This window comes from Homo sapiens, chromosome 10, assembly GCF_000001405.40.
Source record: "Homo sapiens chromosome 10, GRCh38.p14 Primary Assembly".
In the NCBI taxonomy this organism is placed as follows: domain Eukaryota; kingdom Metazoa; phylum Chordata; class Mammalia; order Primates; family Hominidae; genus Homo; species Homo sapiens.
Window position 1 is genome coordinate 28078947 of NC_000010.11, and position 15058 is coordinate 28094004.

The 15058-nt window shown below is 40.6% G+C and overlaps 1 protein-coding gene across 14 annotated transcripts in view, besides 1 other annotated feature; it reads right to left on the reverse strand.

Moving 5' to 3' along the window:
- The window catches only part of MPP7 (MAGUK p55 scaffold protein 7), a 284211-nt gene that overhangs the window by 27954 nt on the left and 241199 nt on the right, over nucleotides 1-15058 (reverse strand). For 13 of the 14 annotated variants that reach the window (NR_134518.2, NR_134517.2, XM_047424647.1 and 10 more), the window contains one exon: nucleotides 10725-10895. Coding sequence is in view for 11 of the 14 variants with exons in the window: in XM_047424647.1 (XP_047280603.1) it covers nucleotides 10725-10895 (171 nt within the window). In the remaining 3 variants the exon portion in view is untranslated. Of the gene's footprint in view, nucleotides 1-2102; nucleotides 2174-10724; nucleotides 10896-15058 lie in introns of all 14 variants that reach the window. The other variant, XR_007061944.1, reaches the window with a different exon arrangement.
- Nucleotides 9861-11060: an enhancer, noted in NCBI's record as "MED14-independent group 3 enhancer chr10:28377736-28378935 (GRCh37/hg19 assembly coordinates)". NCBI's record gives its function as "activates an origin of replication core promoter dependent on BRD2, BRD4, P300/CBP and CDK7 cofactors, and independent of MED14, by STARR-seq in HCT116 cells {active_cell/tissue: HCT116}" and the evidence as "EXISTENCE:reporter gene assay evidence [ECO:0000049][PMID:35650434]".

Genomic DNA, 15058 nt, shown 5'->3' on the forward strand with positions numbered 1-15058 from the left:
CATGCAAAGATTCTTTTATGTTTATCTTAAAAAGGTTAAAAATCTATAGCAAATTCTCAGCTTTAATTTACATAGAAGAAGGTAGACATACATGACACCTTTTCCCCAAATGATCTTGAAATTGGTTGACATTATTGCCTCATTTCATGTAATGTAATTATGAGACGTAGGGTATTTTCATTGTTCTGTTTCAGATTTTCTTTGTATTCCCCAAATATGTTTAGGTGTTTATGATTTGTAACAAATGTTTATGTATAAAAAACAAAAAGTATATTTTGATTAGAATGCTAGCACAGTATACTTTCAAAATTAATTCACAGTTGATGCATACAAGTTTTTCATTCTGTAAACATGGTCTCCCCAAATAATCTACTTTTTTAAATCTGATACAGACATATACCACAAAAAAAAAAAGAAAGAAACAAGCCAGGTGCAGCAGTTTGCACCTGTAATCCCAGTTACTTGGGAGGCTGAGACAGGAAGATCACCTGAGACCAGGAGTTTGAGTCCAGCCTGGGCAACATAGCAAGATCCTCTCTAAAAAACAAAACAAAAACAAACAAAAAATAAAACAAAGCTAAATGAGTAGAAAAAGATTTCAGGCAATAACATCAGCGCCTAGAAGCGCACCCAAAACCATACATGCACTGAAAGAATGATTTGAAATACCAGGTATAATGTTCTTATACTGACAAAAAAACAAAAAACCTGTTAATGGCCATGGTCTCAGGCGTTGTGTTTTGAACCTTCAATTCTGTACTTATTTACATGTTAGTGCACATTCTGAGCGAATGAATAAACATTTACTTGAACAGCAATATGTATTACTATTGTGAAAATAATTACTGAAATCAATGAAATGTGGCACATGTGTATATTTTAAATGACAGTCATAAAGAATAAGCATATGGATGGGCATAATCCTATCACTTAGGAAGGCCGAGGCGGGCGCATCACCTGAGGTCAGGAGTTCCAGACCAGCCTGGCCAACATGGTGAAACTCCATCTCTACTAAAAATTTAAAAATTAGCCAGGTGTGGTGCGGGGTGCCTATAATCCCAGCGGAAGAATGGCTCAAACCCAGAAGGCAGAGGTTGCAGTGAGCCAAGATTGGGAGGGGGAGGGGGAGGGAGGGAGAGGGGAGGGGAAAAGGAAAGGAAAGGAAAGAAAAAGAAAAGAAAGAAGAGAAAAGAAAAGAAGGAAGGAAGGAAAACAAAAGAAAAGTAAAAAGTGGGAAGCTTATTGAAAGAGCACCATTTTTTCCAGGCAGCTATTTACTCTACGCTTATATAGACTGACTAAAATACTCATCTCACTCTACTTCAAAACTATGACAAGAGTGCAATAAAATTAAGAGGTCAAAATAAAATCATCCCTGAGTGTTCCGTGGCTAAGTAGACGGGGGCATGAGAAACTGCCTTACTTCAGAGTTTGCTCAGAATGGGGCCACCAAGCTCCCAATTCAAAATCTATCCTGTCTGTGTCCCCAACTCTCCATTCCCCTTATCCCATTCCACTTTACTTTCTTCCATAGACTTATCGCCTTCTAACAACTGTACAAGTGATTTTATCATTTCTTACTAATTTATTATAAATATGGTTTTGGTCCATCTTCTCCCATTAGAACATAAATGGCACAAGGGCAAAAATGTTTGTGTGCTCAGAACAGTGCCTGGCATAGCTGGTACACCGTAAAACTCAGTTGAATGAACAGATTTGTGGTTTATGCCCAGAAATGAAGTCTGAAAATAAATATTTAAGATTGGCCAACGGCATAAAAAGCCAACTGTGACTCCAGTGAAGATCACATTTACCTTTTACATACAAGGGTTATAATTTTAAATCCATCACATTCTCAGGAATTTCATTATGACTTTCAGTTTTACAGTTATCTATATAAAATCCTCCAGAGCCAACTCTAATTCTACAAGCCTTCCATCAAAGTGCAACAAAAGATATGAGAATTCTAATAAACACACTAACACATTTAGTTTTGAGCACTTACTTTGCACTCTGCTTTATGTGGGAGGCTTTGTGTTATGCCACAGTTTTATGAAAAAATAGTGACAGTCTTATAATAAATGCCTGTTTATTCAAATTACCTCTGCAAGCAGTCTTTGGGCAGCACATAAGATTCAGCACAAAGGAGAGCAGAATAGTACTGATGCTCAAGCTAAAAATGTGAAATATACAGAAAGATTTATTATTAGTTTCTCTTGTACCTCCCAGCCAGACAGAACAAGTCGCAAATTGTCTGAATATCCACAAGATGAATTTTTGCTCTTGTTTTGGCTTAAACGTGAAAAGTGTTTTAGTTGCTTTTTAACACCTAAGTCTTCTCCCTGCTCCCTCCCTCACCCACACACACATTATTTGACTTTATTACTTTACTTTTCAAAAAGTTGGGTTTCACTGAAGATAAGACTTGTCATGTAGGAAAATGTATTAAAAGCCTGACATTTGGTTTCAACATACTTTCTAGAAAATGCTTTTAAATGCAGAAGGAAATTTAACAGAAACTGTCATTGAGATGTTTTGGTGGCTAAAATGAGGCTTAAGAAGAATACATTTTCAAAATGAAGAGAAAATTATAATACTTCTGATCACAGCTCAAAGTCCTCCATTATTGTATTTTTGCCATGGTAACAACTTGGTCTATTATTATTTCTTGATCATTAAATATAAGAATAAAAACCATATAGCATTATGATAATATAGAAAAATAATATTTTGTATTTTCTCAACAATATTTATGAAACGGTTTCAAAGCAAGTGTCACTTTTCCCAATGGCTTTGGAAACACTGGGCAAAAAATTATTCTCTTTTTTTTTTTTTTGAGACAGAGTCTTGCTCTGTCACTCAGTGGCACAGTCTCGGCTCAGTGCAACCTCCAACTCCCAGGTTCAAGTGATTCTCCTGCCTCAGACTCCTAAATACCTGGGACTACAGGTGACTGCCAACACATCTGGCTAATTTTTGTATTTTTAGTAGAGACGGGTTTCACCATGTTGGCCAGGCTGGTCTTGAATTCCTGACCTCAGGTGATCCACCTGCCTCAGCCTCCCAAAAAGTGCTGGGATTACAGGCATGAGCCACTGCACCCAGCCAGAAATTATTTCCAAGGAGGACTATGACACTTATACTTTTTCCATCTTCCTACATAAATACACATTGTAGGAGCCAAGGAAATAAATTCCTATGTATACAACGTTTCTATAATCATAAACTAAACAGTAAACAGTTAATTCAGGAATAACCCAGAATTTCCAAAATTTGTGTCCATGGCTTCATTACCTATTTCAGATGATAAACTTCTAGATAATCTAATAAGTGTTTTAACACTGAGGTTCAAAACCAGTAGAAGCCTACTGATATTTGAACATTTCATGTTTATCTTATTATGTTTAGTTAATATGTAAGTCCTCCTCCTCCTCTTCCTTCTTCTTCCCCTTCTTCTCCTTCTCCTCCTCCTCCTTCTCTCCTTCTCCTCCTTCCTCCTCCTTCCTTATCCTTCCTCCTCCTCCTCCTTCTTCTTTTAGACTCTGTTGCCCAGCCCAGAATGTGCAGTGGTATAACCACAGCTCTCTGTAATCTCTAATTCACTGACTCATGCAATCCTCTCATCTCAGCTTCCCAAGTAGCTGGGACTACAGGCACACACCACCTTGCCTGGCTAATTTTATTTTATTTTGTTTTGTTTTTTATAAAGATGGAGTCTCACTATGTTGCCCAGACTGGGCTTGAACTCCTGGCCTCCAGCACTCTCCCTGCCTCAGCCTCCCTCAGCGCTGGGAATTCAGGTGTGAGTCACTGCGCTCAGTCTCTTTTTTTATTTTTAGAGACGAGGTTTCACTGTATCTAGCTGGTCTTGAGCTCCTGGGCTCAAGTGATCCTTCTGCCTCAGTCTCCCGAACAGCTGAGACCACAGGCATGCACCACTATGCTGGGCAATAAATATTTCTTATTAAAACCATACTAGGTGCATGAATTGGCCTGCATCTTTGCACAGATTATTTTGTTTAACCCTCAAAACAAACCTAGAAAGTAGGTGTTTTTATTATCTCAAATTTTCAGATGAATAACTGAAGCCCAGAGAAAATTTGAATTGTTCCCGTGTCATGTGACTACTGAAGGGCATCACAGGACTGGAAGGCAGCCATCTTGTCCCAGAGGCTCATCTCTCATCTTCTATATTATCCTGCCTCACAGGATATAAAGAGATGGGGATTTCTCCACGTAACAGGCTCTAAGCTTCTGATACTTCCAATGTGCCATACACATAAGCTGAAAGGGTTTCTGAGTAAGGAATACAAAGAAGAAAGCAAATAATAGGGAATACTTCTGAAGGACAGTTACATAAAACCGCCTTGGCCATCACCAGATCCCACTGTACAGTGTCGTGCTGTACACAGGCCACAGTGGGGTAGAGGTGGAATGTTCTGTTAATGACACCAGGGGGCTGAAATTTCCAAGCCTCCAGCTGTACAGGCATTCTTGATTCTGGAAAGTTTCTAGATCTTTTCTTTAGTAGAACTATTACTAAGAAGTTTGCATTAATATACCATGCTTACATGATTTTCTTCCTCTTTTTTTTTTTTTTTTTTTTTTGAGATGGAGCTTCGCTCTTGTTCCCCAAGCTGAAGTGCACTGGCATGATCTCAGCTCACCGCAACCTCTGCCTCCTGGGTTCAAGTGAGTCTCCTGCCTCAGCCTCCCGAGTAGCTGGGATTACAGGCGCCCGACACCACACCTGGCTAATTTTTGTATTTTTAGTAGAGACAGGGTTTCACCATGTTGGCCAGGCTGGTCTCGAACTCCTGACCTCAAGTGATCTGCCTGCCTCGGCCTCCCAGAGTGCTGGGATTACAGGCATCAGCCACCGCACCTGGCCTTTACTCTATTTTTTATATAGAGACACAGGAAATACAATTCGCCTGAAGAGAAAATGTGATCTAACATGACAAAAAGAATAAAATGAATATTCTCCATTAAGTCTGTTCTGTTATAATCCAATTGTCACAGATTTAAGAAATACTGCCTTATACCAGCAATTGCTCCAAAATAGGAAAAGAACGTGTTAGGGGCTAAAGAGTTTCACATAAAGTTAATTTTCCTAGAGGAATTTCAGACTAAAGGCTAATAATCATAACAAATCTGTTGATCAAAACAGACAAGCCAAAACCTGAAATATTGCTGAGCAAATCCTGAACAGCAGAAAGATTAAGAGGAAACCAAAAGTTTCTAAGCCATCATTATAAGGCATACATGAGAAAGCACAAAACTGAAATACAATGCCAAGAAAAGTAGAAAATCAAAATAAATGGCAGCCAATTCACAATCACTAACCAAAGAAGGCAATGGCAACTGAACCCATTCAAACAGAGCAACAAGGCTTCTCCCTGTGTGCACAGCACCAGACCTCACAGCATCTGCATCTGAACCAGCAGCAATAGGGGAAAAGCAAAATGTACCCTAATTAATCAGGCCAGCAGCAACAGCATCATCTGGGAGCTTGTTAGAAATGCAGGCTCTCTGACCCCACCTCAGGCTACCAGATTAGAAACTGCATCTTAACAAGACCTCCAGGTGACCAGAATGCATGTTAAATCTGACAAGCCCTGGAATAGGGTCTGGAGGTCAGAGGAGAAGGGCAGGAGCTCCTCCCTCTGTATATTCTCCAAGACTACCTCTATCTATGGCAATCAAAAAACTATTGAGAGACAATCTCTGAACTCTGAAGGCAGTAGACAGATTATGAATATAACCTTTCGTGGTAAGTGGAAGACTTATCCCAGGTTGACCATGGGAAATGTGAACAAATTTGAGAGGGAAAGACCAGGAAAATCAGCACTTTAGGAATTTATTGAAAAATTTTAAGGAGCAGGGCAGTGAAATAGTAATGACAGGTGCAGTAAGAAACCCTGCCTAGACAGTGTGCAGAATTAGCGTGTAGGAAAGAGAGAGGTGAGCCCACCAAGCCTATTGAACTGACCTAGGGAGACCTACATTGGAAACTCAAGTTGTAGACGTGGGCAGGATTCAAGTGAACATAAACGCTTTCACTAGACTCACATCTAAACTTTCACAAAGCAAGGAGGTATCTGTCAGGAAAATGAATGAACAGTCCTTTAATCAAGGAGATTTTTTAAAAAGTAAGATATTTAGATCCAGCACAGTGTCAAGTACTGCCCTAATTTTAAGATTGGAAGCCATATTCTACAGTAAGATAAGAAGTAGGGTTCTGGTGTCCACCTGCTGGGGTCTGAATCGGTTCTGTAACTTAATGCTTCAGGATCTTAGACAAGTTACCTACTTCTCTCTGTGCTTCAGTTTCTTCATCTGTAAAACAGGGAATAATAAGAGTATTTACCATGTAGTCATGATGAGGACTGAAGGAATACACTCATAGCTCTTAGTTACTGTTATTATATAGCATGGAGGAAGGACAGGACCCTCTTAAAAACAAGTTAAAATTTAAAAACTTGCTTGAGACTGTTTGAAAGGAGTTGGGAACAGCAGAGGGTAGTGAAACATGACAGTTAGATCTTAGTAGCAGAGAAACCTAAGAAGTTCAAACAGATATTTTGGTTGTCATTGAAGCAATGCAATTAATTATTTACTTAAGGCCTGGAAATCTATAGAGAATGAGGAAACACTCATTGGCAGAAGCACCTATCAAAGGCAATATAAACGTTCACTGACTGTGCCACTTGGGAGCATCAGTATTTAGCATCTCCAGTTTAGGACTATGTCGAGGGAATATCCCTGTTGGAAGACAAAGGGGAAATCTCTGAGAATCAGGAATCAAACTTAAGGAATTTCAAACAGGAGACAGAAACAGCAGTCATTGCAATAGGATTGATATCACAGGGCTAGAAAAAAAAGGCTTTAGGATTCTGCTGGGAATTAAAAAATAAAGTGAGAAAAGGGAGGGGACCAACCCAAATACCCATCAATAATACACTGGATAAAGACAATGTGGCACATATACACCATGGAATACTATGCAGCCATAAAAAAGGATGAGTTCATGTCCTTTGCAGAGACATGGATGAAGTTGGAAACCATCATTCTCAGCAAACTAACACAGGAACAGAAAACCAAACACCGCATGTTCTCACTTATAAGTGGAAGTTGAACAATGAGAACACATGGACACAGAGAGGGGAACATCACACATCAGGGCCTGCGGGGTGGGGGCAAGGGGAGGGAGAGCATTAGGACAAATACCTAATACATGCAGGGCTTAAAACCTAGATGACGGGTTGATGGGTGCAGCAAACCACCATATGGCACATGTATACCTATGTAACAAACCTGCATATTCTGTACATGTATCCCAGAATTTAAAGGAAAGTAAAGAAAGAAAGAAGAGAAAACAATGAAAGAAAAAAAGCAAAGCACTTGGCCCCAAAACAGAGTCCACATTCAATTCAGAATTCGGGTACCAGGAACCCAAAGGCCAAAGGGGAAACAGGGCAACTGAAGTGCATACAATTAATCTCTTTACTGATGATTTCAGCCAGATGAATTTTAGTGCAATCAGTGATCACGGATCAGGACAATTAGCATTCAGACAGGAGAAGCGAAAATACCTCAGGTCATTCTATGATTTTTGGCTGACAATAGAATGTGGTGATATATAATTCTGGGAGCATTATTTTGCCTCAAAAGGTAGCTGGAATGATGCTGTGATATTCTTTTGTCCTGACGACCGTTTCAACTGCTGACCAGTAGGGCTGGGGTTCCATTACACAGTTTTGAGGAGGCTGATTAAGGCACACCCATGAAGAAAGGCCAAGTTGTGTCAGAGGAGTTTAAAGCTTCAGAGAGTTCCAGATCCACTATATCGGGGAAAGCCCACCAGAGTCTATCCCCCGCTGAATACAGCCCAAACCTCTGGACAGCGCACAAAAGGCAACAACCTAGGGACTCTGAAAGGCAAACAAAACCAGGCAGAGTGTAGATGGAGTCAAATCTGGAGAGGTGGCCTCCAAGATAATGAAGTTTCCCATTTTATTTTTCCCTCTAGCTATAGTCTCGATGTTTGTCCCCCCAAATTGCGTGTTGAAATTTGATCCCAGCATTGGAAGTGGGGCCCAAGGAGAGGTGTTTGGGTCATAAGAGCAGATCCCTCATGAATAGATTAATGCCCTCCCTGGCGTGAGGCAGTGAGTGAGTTTTCACTCTATTTGTCCCCCAAGAAAGCTGGTTGTTAAAAACAGCCTGACATCCCACCACTCCTGCTTCCTCTCTCTCCACGTGATCTCTGCACACACAGGATTCCCTTCGCCTTCCACAAGTCAAAGCAGCATGAGGCCCTCGCCAGATGCCCAAACTTCCAGCTATTAGAACCATCAGCCAAACAAATCATTTTTCTTTATGAATTACCCAATCTCAGGTATTCCTTTACAGCAACACACAACAGACTAACACATGCCTTTTTTTTTCTTTCTTTCTTTTTTTAATTAGAGAATCTTGCTCTGTTGCCCCGGCTGGAGTACCGTGATGCAATCTCAGCTCACTGCAACCTCTGCCTCCCAGGTTCAAGCAATTCTTGTGCCTCAGCTTCCCAAGAAGCTGGGACTACAGGCGCCTGCCACTACACCTGACTAATTTTTATACTATTAGTAGAGACAGGGTCTTGCCATGTTGGGCAGGCTGGTCTTGAACTCCTGACCTCAAGTGATCCTCCTGGCTTAGCCTCCCAAAGCGCTGGGATTACAGGCATGAGCCACTGCGCCCAGCCTCAATGCCATTTTATTACATGTCTTTCCCCTTGGCTGAGGAGAAGAGGCAACAGGGACAGAAGAGATGTTGCTGTGATCTGTGCTGGTGAAGGAGGCAGCACAGAAGGGACAGTGAGGTGGGAGAGGAGCAGGAGGTCTCAGGTAGCCCCATTGAGCTGGGAAATGCATGTTCTCTCAGCACACCTCTATAAGGATGAGAAGCAGGGCACTGTAAGCTATAAATAAATTCTTCCTCCTCCTCCTTGAGGAGGCTCAGTATAAATGAATTAGGAGATGTGGACATTATTAATAAAGGAAATTTTGAATTTCTTTTGAAGTATGTGAATATGTGTTTCAAAATAATGCAAACAATCTTAATATGTAATGATGCTAGTGTTCACTTCCAGGACCTACAGATGTGAGAAATTGCATCATTTCCCATGAGTCACCCACCATTTCTCAATGAACAGCATGGGTTGTAACCTTTCAAAGGACTCCATCTTACTAAGATGGGGTAATTCTCAGGTTCTCCATTGATTCTCATTTCCATAAGTATCATCACGAGTTTATAAAAGAACAATTAACAAGAGTGATATGGTTTGGCTCTGTGTCCCCACCCAAGTCTCATGTTGAACTGTAATTCTCAATGCTGGGGGAGGGACCTGGTGGGAGGTAGCTAGATCACAGAGGTAGATTTCTCCCATGATATTCCCACGATAATGAGTTCTCAGGAGATCTGATGGTTTAAAAGTATGTGGCACGTCCCCTGTCGCTCTCACTCTCTCTCTCCCCTGCTGCCATGTGAAGCCCGCTCCTGTTTCCCCTTCACCTTCTGCCATGCTTGTTAAGTTTCCTGAGGGCTCCCAGTCATGCTTCCTATATAGCCTGTGGAACTGTGAGTCAATTAAACCTCTTTTCTTCATAAATTACCCAGTCTCAGGTAATTATAGCAGTGTGAGAATGTACTAACACTAAGAGACACCATGCTCTTCTACTCCAAAACTTTTCTAAAATCATTGGCTTTGATCCTGGAAGTTTAAATATCTCTCGCTACATTTTTAAAGAAATGCATTGAGGATGAAGTGAAGATACATGGAGCTTGTGGCTACTCACATCTGTGAAGGGTGCACAAGATAGATGCTAGGATGCAAATCTGAGTCAAGGCAATCGATGTTTGTGAAAATACCCACATTCCTTTATTAACTGCCTTTTTATTTTGAGACAGAGTCTCGCTCTGTCACCCAGGCTGGAGTGCAGTGGCGCGATCTTGGCTCACTGCAACCTCCACCTCCCAGGTTCAAGGGATTCTTCTGCCTCAGCCTCCTGAGTAGCTCGGACTACAGGACTGTGCTACCACGCCTGGCTAATTTTTGTATTTTTGTAGAGATGGGGCTTCAATGTAGAGATGGGGCTTCACTGTAGAGATGGGGCTTCACCATGATGGCCAGGCTGGTCTCAAACTCCTGACCTCAAGTGATCCTCCCACCCTGGCCTCCCAAAGTGCTGGGATTAAAGGTGTGAGCCACGGCACCCAGCCAATTATCAACTTTAAAGCGACTTTGCTGACTCTCTAGCTTGAAATATCCTAGAACTCTGCTGTAATACTTTATTTCACTGAAGGTCTAAATGCCATCTGAAGCTTGTACCATGCTGCTGCCTCAAAATGCTTTGAAACGAACTTGCATTGTGTTCAAAAATATTCACTTCTATTATTTAATTGCCCTGATGTATGCTTCATATATTACAACAGTGTTTGCTATCCCCACTTGACAAAGGTTCCACTAAAACGACAGTACCGTTCTTCAGAAATGTCTTAAAAGTCTCTGCAAGTCAATTACGTACAAAAAACTAAAGATTTTGTTTCAGAGACAAGACAAAAGGTGTTGAAGGGGAGGAGATTTTTAGCTTGAAAACTTCAAGTATGATTCACTTTGAAGAGAAATTCTTACTAGCTCACTCATTTCCTCAGAATTACTCACAGAAACAAGCACTTACCAACCAAGACAACGAGTCTGTATTTTTCATTAGTTTGTCGCCGATACGGTGTCACTTCTTCGTATGTGGGTACGTCAGCTGTGTCGTACTGATCACTCTTCTTGCATTCATACATGGATTTATTTGTTTTCTTATCTTTTCTACTAAGACGAAAACTTTTTCTAAAACCAGCTGCAAATATTAAAATAAATATATTTTTAGTAACATCAACCAAAAAAGAAACCCTCAAAAAAAAAAAACCCTCAGAGTTGGGTTGGATTTTATTTACCATAATATTGGGTTTTTAAAGTTAAAACCCTAATGTTTTAGAGACAGGGTCTCACTCTGTTGCCCAACCTGGAGAGCAGTGGCGCCATCACAGCTTACTGCAGTGTTGAACTCCTGGGCTCAAGCGATCCTCCCACCTCAGGCTCCCAGGCAGGTGGGATTACAGGCACACATCACCACGGCTGGTTAATTTTTAAAATACTTTGTAGAGACAGGGTCTTGCTACGTTGCCCAGGCTGGTTTGAACTGCTGGCCTCAAGCAATCCCCCCAGTTTAGCTTCCCAAAGTGTTGGGATTACAGGCATGAGCCACTGTGCCTGGCCTATTCATCATAATATTGTTAGAAATGCATTCAGTAAGAAAAAAATAATAGTACACAATTTTATAAAAACAATAACTTAGATTTAATATTTATTTATGTAGTTATAATAATGTAAATTTTATTTGGTTTAAACAATAAAGAGCTCTGTTGAAAAATCATTGAGTAAAATAACTATAATAAAGCAAAATAAGTCAAAAATCATAATTTATCAAGAACTGATTGGTAAACACATTTGATATGAAAAAGTTAAAAACACTGTAAAAGCATTTTAAATGTAAACAATAAGTTCTCTCATTCATGAACATGAACAAAGTTTCTATTACATCCTAAGCATAACCTCACAACGTACCCATGGCACAGGCAGCATCTATTGTTAAACAAAAAGAAAACTAAATTAGGGAGTGTGTAGTGTAGCGTGTGCTTATGCGTCAGTCAGGCTGACAGAACAAAGCTCACCCAGTCAACAATTAGTTGATCTTCAGCAAGTCAGTTAACTTTAACTGGACTCCAGGGGATGGAATAAATCATCAAGCCTCAGGTTCTTTTCTCTAATGGAAATTCTATGCTTTCATAATGTGACACATATGAAATTAAGAAATAGAGCCAGCCACGGTGGCTCATGCCTATAATCCCAGCACTTTGGGAAGCCAAGGAAGGAGGGCAGATCGCTTGAGCCCAGGAGTTTAAGACCAGGTGGGGCAACATGGAGAAACCCCATCTCTACTAAAAATACAAAAAAATTAGCTAAGTGGTGGTGCACACATGTAATCTCAGCTACTCGGGAGGCTGAGACAGGAGAATCGCTTGAACTCAGGAGACAGAGGTTGCAGTGAGCCAAGATCGCACCACCGTACTCTAGCCTAGGTGACAGAGTAAGACTCCATTTCAAAAACAAAACAAAACAAAAAAACCCTTATATATATTTTATATCAGCTGCAAAGTTCAAAATAAAATGCAAGTACATTTTAAAGGTATAAAAATACATTCTCTTCAAAAAGAATATTCATCAACTTTGATAAACAGATAACTTTTTTTTTTTTTTTTTGAGATGGAGTTTTGCTCTTGTTGTCCAGGCTAGAGTGCAATGGCATGATCTCGGCTCATTGCAACCTCCGCCTCCTGGGTTGAAGTGATTCCCCTGCCTCAGCTTCCCGAGTAGCTGGGATTACAGGCGCATGCCATCACGCCCGGCTAACTTTTGTATTTTTAGTAGAGACGGGGTTTCACCACATTGGCCAGGCTCATCTCAAACTTCTGACCTCAGGTAATCCGCCCTTCTCAGCCTCCCAAAGTGCTGGGATTACAGGCGTGAGCCACCATGACCAGCCATAGATATCTTTTTTATAAACAGAGGTATTTTGTAACAAAATGAAAAAAATGTAATAACTAATCTGTGTGGATTTTAGTGAATATAGTCAGCTGTCTGAATCTGTGGGTTCCATCCATGTGGATTTAACCAATTATGGACTGAAATTTTTTAACTGTATCTCTATTGAACATGTATTGAGTGTTATTTCATCTGTATTGAGACTTTTGTCCTTGTCATTATTCCCTAAACAATAGAGTATAATAATTTACATAGCATTTACATTGTATTAGGTATTACAAGTAATCTGGAGATGATTTAAAGTATACAGGAGGATGTGCATAGATTACATGCAAGTACACATTTTATATCGGGGCTTGAGCATCTGCAGATTTTGGTATCCAAGGGGGTCTTGGAACCAATCTCCCATGGATATCATAGGATGACTGCATGAAGGAAATGAATAATTGTTACCATTGGGTTTAAGAAATTAACAGGATTCAAAATAAAGGAAATGTGAAACAATTACCAATGACTAACAATGGTTTTATGTGACTCACCTTATGGATTCAGAGTTTGATAAAAATTGATCAAGATATTAAGGACAGAGTGACTAAAGTTTATCTGATAACATGTTTCTGTGGCCCTCTAAGAGTCACTCCGATTTTGAGAAGATATTTGAGTTGAGAGAAAAGGTTATTTATAAAGGATCTAAAACAAGGAAGACAGTTGTTCTAAAGCTCCTTTACAAAGGTAAAGAGGAGAAGAGAATAGGACAAGTTGTAAACACATGGGTGTCTTATAAGACAAGAGATGACATCTGAGGAAAGCTAGAAGGTAAATACATCCCTCTGGCCCTAGGATGAGAAAAAGAGGTGGAATTATAAAATCACACATGCAGAGAGGATTCAAACTTCTATGTAAAGCGCCAGAGAAAAAGTTATTTATTACTTTTTGTTCATCTTGTTTTCTAGGTTGTAGGGAAAGCTTCATAGAACCCAGAAAAGGGACCTTTTTTTTTTTTTGAGACAGGGACTGGCTCTGTTGCCCAGGCTGGAGTGCAGTGGCAGGATCTCGGCTCTCTGAATCCTCTGCCTCCCAGGCTCAAGCCATCTTCCCACCTCAGCCCCCTGAGTAGCTGGGACCACAGGCATGTGCCACCACACCTGGCTCAATTTTTTTTTTTTTTTTTTTTGAAGAGATAAGGTTTCGCCATGTTGCCCAGGTTGGTCTTGAAGCCCTGAGCAAAAATGATCCGCCCACCTCAGCCTCCAAAAGTGCTGGGATTATAGGCATGAGACACTGAACCCAGCCACCTTCCTATCACAGACATAACACACTACACCAGAAGTAGCCAAGGTCTTTACAACTACCCCTTGTGCTTGAGCACAGTGGTTCTCAGACAAGGGTCTCTTTCTAATTGCAGAATTTAGTTATCCCAAACCAACCCCAGCACCTACTCTGTCACGGATGTGTGCTGGCCCAGACTGTAGCCCAGTATTAGCACGGCTTCTGGTTTAGAACAAAGATGATACATGAGCTACTCTAACAACAAAAGTTAGAATGCTGATATTTCACAGCATTCTAATTTCATGTTTCCACAGCTCTTGCCTCATGAGAGGCAATTACAGAATAAGCAGGTAGAACTATAAATTCCTTTATAATTATTCCCTGTATGGAGGGAGGCTTGCTGTCAAGTCTCTACAAACTTTTGGCACAGGAATGGATATAACAAGAACATAAATGCTTCATCCACAGGAAATAACATCCAAAAGTAAAAACCTGACAAATTTCTGATGAGCAAATCACAGCTAAATCTTGAATTTCAATGTGCTTACCTAATTGAGCCTTTAAAATTCACTTAAGTTTTTACTTTCCTTTTTTTTTTTTTTTTTCTTGAGACAGGGTCTCACTTCTGTGGCTCAGGCTGGAGTGCAGTGGTGCAATCTCAGCTCACTGCAGCCTCTGCCTCCCAGGTTCAAGCGATTCTCATGCCTCAGCCTCCTGAGTAGCTGGGACTACAGACGCCTGCCACCACACCTAGCTAATTTTTGTATTTTTAGTAGAGATGGGGTTTCTCCATGTTGGCCAGGCTGGTCTCGAACTCCTGACCTCAGGAGATCCACCCGCCTTGGCCTCCCAAAGTGCTGGGATTACAGGCATGAGCCACCACACCCAGCCAAGTTTTTACTTTCATCATAAACAATGAAGAGTTAGTGAGGAAAAGAGAAGGTAATCAGATCTCTTAAGGTGATGTTGCATGAGTGTCAAAGATGGGGACCATGTTGCATAGATAGTTGGGTGATGTCAGTTGTGCAAGGCTTGCTACAGAACAGTTGCTTGATAAACGTTTACTGAATGGAAGTAATTTTAAAAGGCAGCAACAAAAACCCTACTATTATTCCTGTTTCATCTGCTTCATGTAAATTTCAACAAAGA